This window comes from Homo sapiens, chromosome 9, assembly GCF_000001405.40.
Source record: "Homo sapiens chromosome 9, GRCh38.p14 Primary Assembly".
In the NCBI taxonomy this organism is placed as follows: domain Eukaryota; kingdom Metazoa; phylum Chordata; class Mammalia; order Primates; family Hominidae; genus Homo; species Homo sapiens.
This window is the reverse complement of record NC_000009.12, coordinates 16,327,990-16,336,306: the sequence shown is the minus strand read 5'-3', so window position 1 is coordinate 16,336,306 and position 8,317 is coordinate 16,327,990. Positions and strand designations below refer to the sequence as shown.

The window sequence follows — 8,317 nt, the reverse complement described above, 5'->3', positions numbered from 1 at the left end:
AGGACCACTGTGTCCTGAATGCATGAAACCCTCCAAGATCTGTTGGCATCTTAGAAGGGACAAGGAGCAGATGGCTTGGAGGAAGGAGAACATGTTATTTTGCGGTCCTGTAACTCACCCTTTTCAGATAGCTTCTTCATTTCCCAATTCTTTCCCAACTTTTCAAGTATCAGAACGGAGAGGCAGTGAGAATGAGTCAGCAGCTCATGCCCTGTCCTTGGCCAGCACCCCCAACCCCAGGGAGTGAATACCTCAGTTCCCAAACTCTCTGAGTCAGGGAGGTCACTCTGAGGACATCTGCCTGTTTGTCTAAACCATGCCAAGCAAGCAACAGCTGCTGAATGAGCCCAGGAGGCATCACTTCCTGTCAGCCAGGGGACCAGACCAGGTGGCCTCCTTGCCCTCCTTCCTGACTCCTGCCACACTGCCCAGGTATCCCAGTACGGGGAGGGCATTTGTTTTCCCGTCCCATTCCAGAGATTCAGCCTAGGGACCAGGAGCATCTTCTCCTGGGATGCCGAGCATTAGGTTTATCCAAGAGTGGAGGCAACCCCCTGGACAACCCAAACCCTGGAGAGACAGACAGAGCACAAGCTCAGTGTCTGGAGTCCTGGGGTCTCTCTTGGGTTTTACCACTGACCTTAAGCAAATCTTATCACCTTGACCATTGACATGGTTAGGCTTTGTGTCCCCATCCAACTCTCATCTTGAATTATAATCCCTGTAATTTCCAAGTGTAAAGGGAGAGACCAAGTGGAGGTAATTGAATCATGGGGGCTGTTTCCCCCATGCTGTTCTCATGATAGTGAGAGAATTCTCACAAGACCTGATGGCTGTATAATGGGCTTTTTCCCCTTCACTTGGCACTTCTCCTTCCTGCCACCTTGTGAAGAAGGTGCCTTGCTTCCCCTTCACTTTCTGCCATGATTGTAAGTTTCCTGAGGCCTCACCAGCCATGCTGAACTGTGAGTCAATTAAACCTCTTTCCTTTATAAATTACCCAGTCTTGGGCAGTTTTTTACAGCAGTATGAAAACAGACTAATACAGACTAAACAGTTTCCTCATCTGTAAAGTGAGAAATCTTCTTTGTCCCCTTCCCCAGGTGGAATGAAGTGGTCATTTTCTGGGAGCCCAAAACATATGACACATGACTTGATCTGGGCACTTAATCCATTGTAATCTGGTTGGCTAATTATGTATCTGACTCTCCATCCAGAATATCAGCTCCTTAAGGACAAGGAGCACCTTTAAGTCTTCCCCTGGTGCCCCATTTAGCTCTAGCCCTCCATCATTCTGTATCGTACATGCTTAGACTGCATTGAGAGGGGCTGCTAGTGTAGAGGAAACAACTGCATTTCACACATTTATTAAGGTGACATTATGACATCACTGCATATCCACCCCCTGCAATGCTTGAGGATAGATTCAAACAAAGAGAAACCCATGATCTCTAGTCACGATGCAGGACCAAATAACCGTAGTTATAAACATGCCCCATCCCATCACTCTCTGTCCCATGCCGGCCACTCACCTGTGCTGAGTGTTTGATCTTCTGTTATCTGATGACTAAAGTCCTGTGTTCCATTGACACATGTCTTGGGGTAAAGACAGATGCTACAGTGCATTGGCTAAGGACCGGCTCTATGGGAGAAGCGGAAATGACAAGGTGCCAGCCATTCTCCACTGCGTCCGTGCAGAGGTGTGCTGATTTTGTGAGGGTTTTCATCCCCACAGGGGGATAGGATCCCCCTCCTTATAGGGTGAGCAAGAGAGAGATCTTGTCAGAGGGGGAAGTCATTAGACCACTTAGTGTAAGACAGGCTGGCATTTACCAGAGTTGTCTGGGAACACCAGCTTCCAGCCCCTGGAGCCTTGGGACCTATGTGGTGCCGCAGTCTTCCTGCAGAGGGAGGACACTCAGTCCCATGGGCAGGAGAACTCGGCTACAGACTACCTTCCCCTACTCCCCGACAAACCCTAGGGAAATTTGGGGCCTTTGGTTCCAGCAAGATCATTGTCCAGGTAACCCAGAGTGTGCACCAGGGTCATTCCAGATAATCCAGGTATTTTTGTTTAGGCCTGGACCAGAGTAGATGGGAGAACGATACTTCCCTAGGGTCAGGCTGGTGGGAAGGGGATGCAAAGGCAGCAAACTCAAGAGAAGGCCTCTCTCAGGGAGAGCACGGCCATCTGATCAGCTGCCCCTCCACGTCAGGAGACTTTCCGTCCTGGGGCTGATTTGGAAGACTATAGATTTCATTCTTATTAAGGGAAGTGGCTTCCTGCCACAGGGTAGACAGATGAAGGAACGAGATGACCATGGCAGGACATGATGTAGCTCCAGGCTAATGAGCCCTGTGGTTTCACGTGCTCCTGAGATTGCAGTGGCATCCTCTTTGGGGGAAGACAGTCATTGAGTGGGCACGAGGAACTGTGATTCTCATCTGTTTGGGCGAGAGGTCCAGTTTGGCTGCCAGATGGGAGTCGTGCCAGCATTCTCAGCCAAAGCTTTCTTGGGTGGGTAGGATGTGCCCAGGCTCTTTTCTTCCCCATCTTTGGCCGCCTTGTTTGGCCCAGTGAGGGCTTGGGATGTAAAACATATTTGCTTGTGCTGGGCTTTGCTTTTCTCCACAGACCTTGGTAGCTAGAATGAGTACCGCCTGTAGTGTGTGTGCGCACACAATGGTACACATGCACGTGCGTCTGTGCATGTGCTGGCTCTGGAGCCAAACGGAATAGAGACAGGATAAACCTGGTGGGGCCGGCTGCCAGGTATGTCCAAAATCTCCACCTGTGGCCCCAGATCAGGGTCCACCTTGCAGCAGAGCTGGAACCAGAGCTCAGACTGCCTGTAGTGAAGGCTCACACCTGGGGCTTCAGAGGGCCGCAGATGGTATGCAGTCCTGTCTGGAGTCTCTGAGAGGCCACTGGTCCTGCAGTGCTACAGAGGCATTACCCCACGCTCAGCACACCTGCCTGCCTTCTCTGTACACCTCTTTAACACATTCAGCCTCCTGTCTTTCAAAGCCCAACCCAGACACCCCCAATCAGTCATCTCAGCTGAAGGTGAACTCTCTCTTCAAAATTCCTTTTTTTTTTTTTTTTTTAAAGAGACAGGATTTCACTCCATCACCCAGGCTGGAGTGCAGTGGCACAATCACAGCTAATTGCAGCCTTGACCTCCTGGGTTTAAGTGATCCTTCCATTTCAGTCTCCTGAGTAGCTGGGACTACAAGTCTGTGCCCACACGACTGGCTAATTTTTGTATTTTTTTTTTTTTTCCTGTAGAGGCAGGGTTTCACCATGTTGCCCAGGCTGGTCTCAAACTCCTGGGCTCAAGCAATCTGCCTGCCTTGGCCTTGCAAAGTGCTGGGATTACAGGCATGAGCCACCACGCCTGGCCCAGAATTCTTAAAACAAGTAGCACCAAACTCCTGGCACATGCCACGGACAGCACCCATGTGAATTGTAGTCCTGTAAGTATATGTTTACTTCCCCTGCTGAACTGGGTCTTGTTGGGGGGCAGGTGAAGACACTGGCAGAAGCATTTCTTGCTCCACATGGTGGCTCTCCCATGTACTGTCCAGCTAATGTGTGTTGCTCTGTCAGGGACTCTCTGCCTCTCACATCATAGTCTTCCCCTAGTGCTGACCACCTGCCCTGCTCCTCTGCCTCCCATCACCCGAAGGGGTTTGTCTCTATTGGTGCCTGCTCTGGAGCCTGACCATGAGCTTCCAGGCTGACTGCTCCCCTCCAGCTCCCTGGTAGGTCTGACTCTATCGGAAGCGAGCAGAGAAAGCAAAAAAAATCACCTATGACTTCATGTAGTTTCACCACTGTCTGTCCTCCCTCCACCCTGGGCAATGGTTCAGCTTTGGTAGATTTCTTGGTCACTGTCTTAGTTCAATCAGGTGTCCATAACAGAATAACAGACTGGACAGCTTATAAATGATAGAATTTATTTCTCACAGTTCTGGAGGCTGGGAAGTCCAAGATCAAGATGCCAGCAGCTGGTTCTTGTGGTGTCCTTGCATGGCAGAAGTGGGGAGGGAGCTCTCCCGGGTCCCGTTTATAAGGGCACTACTCTCACTTATGGGGGCTCAACCCTTACAACCCAGTCATCTCACAGAGGCCTCACTTCCAAACACCATTACACTGGGGGTTTCAACATTTGAATTTGGGGAGGAACAAAAACAATCTATAGCAGTTACTTCCCTCTAATATTACTTTCAAAATAAATGTTAAAAAGTCCAGTCCCATCTAATACCAAAGCTACACTCTCTCACCCAATTTAAGGGCTTCCCCTATTCCCAGCCTAGCACCGATTCAGGGCAAGGGGCTGTGGTTGACTTCTTTGCTGCTTTCCCTTTGCTTTCCTTTTCTACTGACTATGGAGTTTGTGCAGCCTCCAGGTTGGAGCAGGGGACAAGAGACAAATGGCAGAGAAGGTGTTTCTTGCCTGGCCTCTCGTAATCTGGCCCTGGGCACCCCAGGCCGGGGCAAGCTCCTTTTCTTGTGATGAGCTTTTGTGGATCCTCCTGGGGCCCTCTGCTCTGCTTTTCCTTGGCATGGGAGACAGTCTCTTCTTGATATCTGATAACCCTCCCACCTCTACATTCTCTGGACCGCCTCCAACCGCGTTTGTGGGGGCTGTCTTGCCCCTGCCAGAAAGTCCTCTTGTCTGGAAACCTTGATCAAGACAAAATCAAACCTGCTGGCTTTTGTAGGTCTGCTTGGTCCAAAGAAAATTGCCTGTGTCCTCTTTCTGCCTTTGGTGGAAGCACAGCTTGTTCCCGTCGTCACCTTCTCTCTGTCTCCTGCTTTGGACTATGTTTCTCCAGTCACTCATCTTGAGAATTCTCTAAGTAAGAGTCCAGCATCAGCCCAGTGTTCCCCACTCCAGGGGATTCATGACAGGCTCTATTAACAGAGCCTTTCATTACTGGTGACACCAAGGCACAGACTGGTATAGCTCAGAAAGCATCTGGCCAGAGGGCTGCGGTCACTTTCTCCTCATGAGAAACTTTCTAATTCTGTATGTATGGTTCCCTTGAAGGCCCCCTCATCTGGCTGGAGTTAGGGGAACCTCTCTCTTCCTGGCCCAGGAACAAGAGCAGCATTGCTAATGACTCTCCCGCCAAGGAAATTGTTTCCATCAGTCACTACTGATCAGTCCTCTTCTCTGCCTTGGAGAATATGTGTGGACTAAGGGAATGATCTTCAAATTTGTTGTTTGAGGACCTCCTAAAAGGATTTTGGAAAACTAGTCAGCCTCTTGAGCGTTAGTTGACATTGAAAAAATTTTCATTATAAGTTTAGTTACCAAGAAAACATGACTTCTGGTGTATTGACTATGACATAATATGATATATGTGCTTTAAATATTTAGAATCCTGAAGCTTTAGATTTGGGCCATTCAATTTATAGGAGATATCCACTGTATCACATCATTGGCCAAACCAAACAGCTAAATCAGAACTTTTTATAAAAAAGGGAAGATTCTGATTTCACTTTTCACTATGAATATACATTTTTATATATACTTGAAACATTTGTATTCTGATCCAAAGAAAGACACATAGGCAGGCAGGGGAGGTGCAGAGTTTTGCAACGAGCTTGTCGCTCATGATAAATATTTTTTGCTTGGATTTTTACTGGACTTTTTCTTAGAGTCCTATGTTTGCTGCCCTGAGGATTTTATATCCAGGGGAGATCTAGCGCAGCCAGATTCAAGATGGGTAAAACCTTTCTTTGTTTTGTAGGAAAACTGGAGACCATCAGTTTATGCTCAGACAAATTGATTTTAGAAAAGAATGCCTAGATTGGAGGGGCTGGAAAGTGATGTCCCTAACACTGTGTATGCTGCGTATTCTTGGGAAAGTCTCCATGTGTCCCCAGGGGTGCCCAGTTAGAAGGCTGCTGTGCTAACTGCTGGATCTTTTGTGGTCACCCCTTAGCAGGTTTGGCACAGGTGGTTTGACACCCCGAGTTACCATGTGGGTGCATTAACACCCTCTGTCTCAGAATCAAGGTCTCATCTGAAATGGGAATGACAGGCAAGTCCCATTTGAACATCCTGCTTGACTCATGAGGGGTTTAGTCCATGGTGGGTGCCCAGTGAGGGTCAGAGGGCCAATGTCCAATGTCAGTGGAGGGTCAGCCCCCAGAGTCCCTGCTGCCACTATCCCTGCCTCCTGCCCCACCCTGCGTGGGAAGGGGTGTGATGGGGGAATTCTGGGCTGAGCAGCCATTTCCGTGTGGTCAGGCCTTTGGTGTGGGCGGCAGTGGGAGACACAGCTGGTCGGCAGGGGCTGGGGATGCCTCTGGGGGATGAGGCCTGGGCCAGGGCAGAGTGTGTCAGCCAAGTGGAATCCCCGTGGTCCCATTTTCAAAGCCATTTGCAAGGCTGAGCTATTCCTTTGTCTGTGTCTGAGGACCCCCCACTTGCGGCCGCAGCCTGGGAAAATGTGTGCAGTCAGGGCCACTGTGGCCTCTAGAAGCAGCAGAAGTAGTGCAGGCAGCTGTTCTGCATCCAGCCTCCAAGGAATCCGTCTGTCTGGCCCATCACCAGCCTTATGCTAGAGTTGGCCGCTGCCTGGGTGGTGAGATTAGAGGACACAAGGATGTGCTTGATCCAAATATCTCCCACACCAGTCTGTCACGGTGCCTGACAGCCCCCCATCAGAGAGATGAGAGAGAGACAGAGAGAGAAAGTAACTAAGCCTTGGGGTTGACACATATCACTCCCTTTGTTTGTTCTTCAAATGCTTGTCCCTGGGTAAGCCCCCATGCCTTTCCAAGCCTCAACCTTCTCTCTGTAAAATGGGCCTGGAATACAGGGTTGAATGGATAAAATGAGATCAAGAACATGGAGGAATCTGGCACACAGCACGTGGCCAGTAAAGTCCTGCTTTTCAGAGATGTCCATTAAATCCCCCAGATCTCTTGGGCCTGCAAAAACCTAGAGTACTAAGGCCTGGACTCCCTGACCATAGCCTACTGTGCTGTGGCGTCCCCTCTGCCTAGAGGTGCCAACTCATAGGCTGCCCTGAACCAGTCAGATTTGCTTTCTTGGGGTCTTGGAATGAAGAGAAACGAGGAGGAGGGAGCTGAGGTGTGGGAATAGTTGGAAACTAGGGGAGTCTCAGACCTCTAGTGCTGAGCCCCTCACCCACATATGGCCTAACACAGGAATTGTCACACTGTAGTGGAGGGCTTGGAGCGAGCCTTATTCCTGGGCCCCACCCCAAGAATCAGGAGGCCAGCTCTGTGGACTGGAGCAGGGAGGTGGTCTAGGTCCTTGGAAGCAGATCCCTGTCTTAAACTCAACACCTTGGCTTCTCCTCAGACCGAGACTGCTAGAGGCTTGGGCAGGAGCAGGTTGAACATGATAAGGCTGTCCTCCAAAAATGGCACTATCCAGATAAGAGCATCTCATGATGGGCCCATCCCTGAAGGGGGATGAGGGTTCTGGGGACTCAAGACAGGGAGAGGAATGGGAGGAGGAGAATTGTGGATTAAATGCTGGAGGAGAGAGCAGGAGATATGACCTGCATCTGGGCCTTTGCTGGAGGAATGTCCAGTACTCAGCCTGATCTTGGGGCTCAGTTGAGTTTTCCTCTGCATTGAAGGGTGGTGGTAGCTGACTCATCTCTTTTGGGTGGCGGGGAGATCACTGCTCACTCTGGTCTGTAGTGCTGGCCTAGACTCCACTTTTGACCACACATAGCTCCTAGTGGGGAAACAGTCACCCAAAAGACAAATTGTTGCAGACTCAGCTTCTTTGATTCCCCTGACTTAAGGGCAGTCTGAGGACTAGGGCGCTGGGCCAAGAGTGGCTGAAAATGGGCATTAGCACATCTGAAGGCCCCATTTTTCTTCTTCTTTTCATCCAGGGCTAGATCAAATGCCTCCTCCAGGAAGCCTTCCCTAGTTACTCCCTCATCTACCGCCCCCTTGTGCCTCAGTTTACCAATCAAGCCATTCTGCCTTGTGTCATGATTCTGTCTCCCTGAGGGCACCTGTGCGTCAGTAGGGACTCTGTCCTCCCTGACCTGGGCTAGGATGGAGAAGTCTATCTGGTCCTAGGAGGTCGGATAATGATGTAACAATTAACAGCTCTGCTTTAGGGCCTGAGAGACCTAGATTCAAATCAAATTCTGCCAAAGTGAAACCCTGGGGGAAGTCGTTTAACTTCACCGAGCCTCAGTTTTCCAACTGTACAAATGGAGGAAATAAGCATTCTTACCACATATGGTTTGTTGTGAGGATTGAAAGACATAAAGACGTGAACCCTAGACAGTATCAGCACTTTAC

The 8,317-nt window shown here is 49.8% G+C and overlaps 1 annotated feature.

Annotated features, from left to right (window-relative positions):
• Positions 6,299 to 6,858: an enhancer, noted in NCBI's record as "H3K4me1 hESC enhancer chr9:16329447-16330006 (GRCh37/hg19 assembly coordinates)". NCBI's record gives its function as "activates a minimal SCP1, AML or CMV promoter by ChIP-STARR-seq in naive H9 embryonic stem cells {active_cell/tissue: H9 hESC(naive)}" and the evidence as "EXISTENCE:reporter gene assay evidence [ECO:0000049][PMID:30033119]".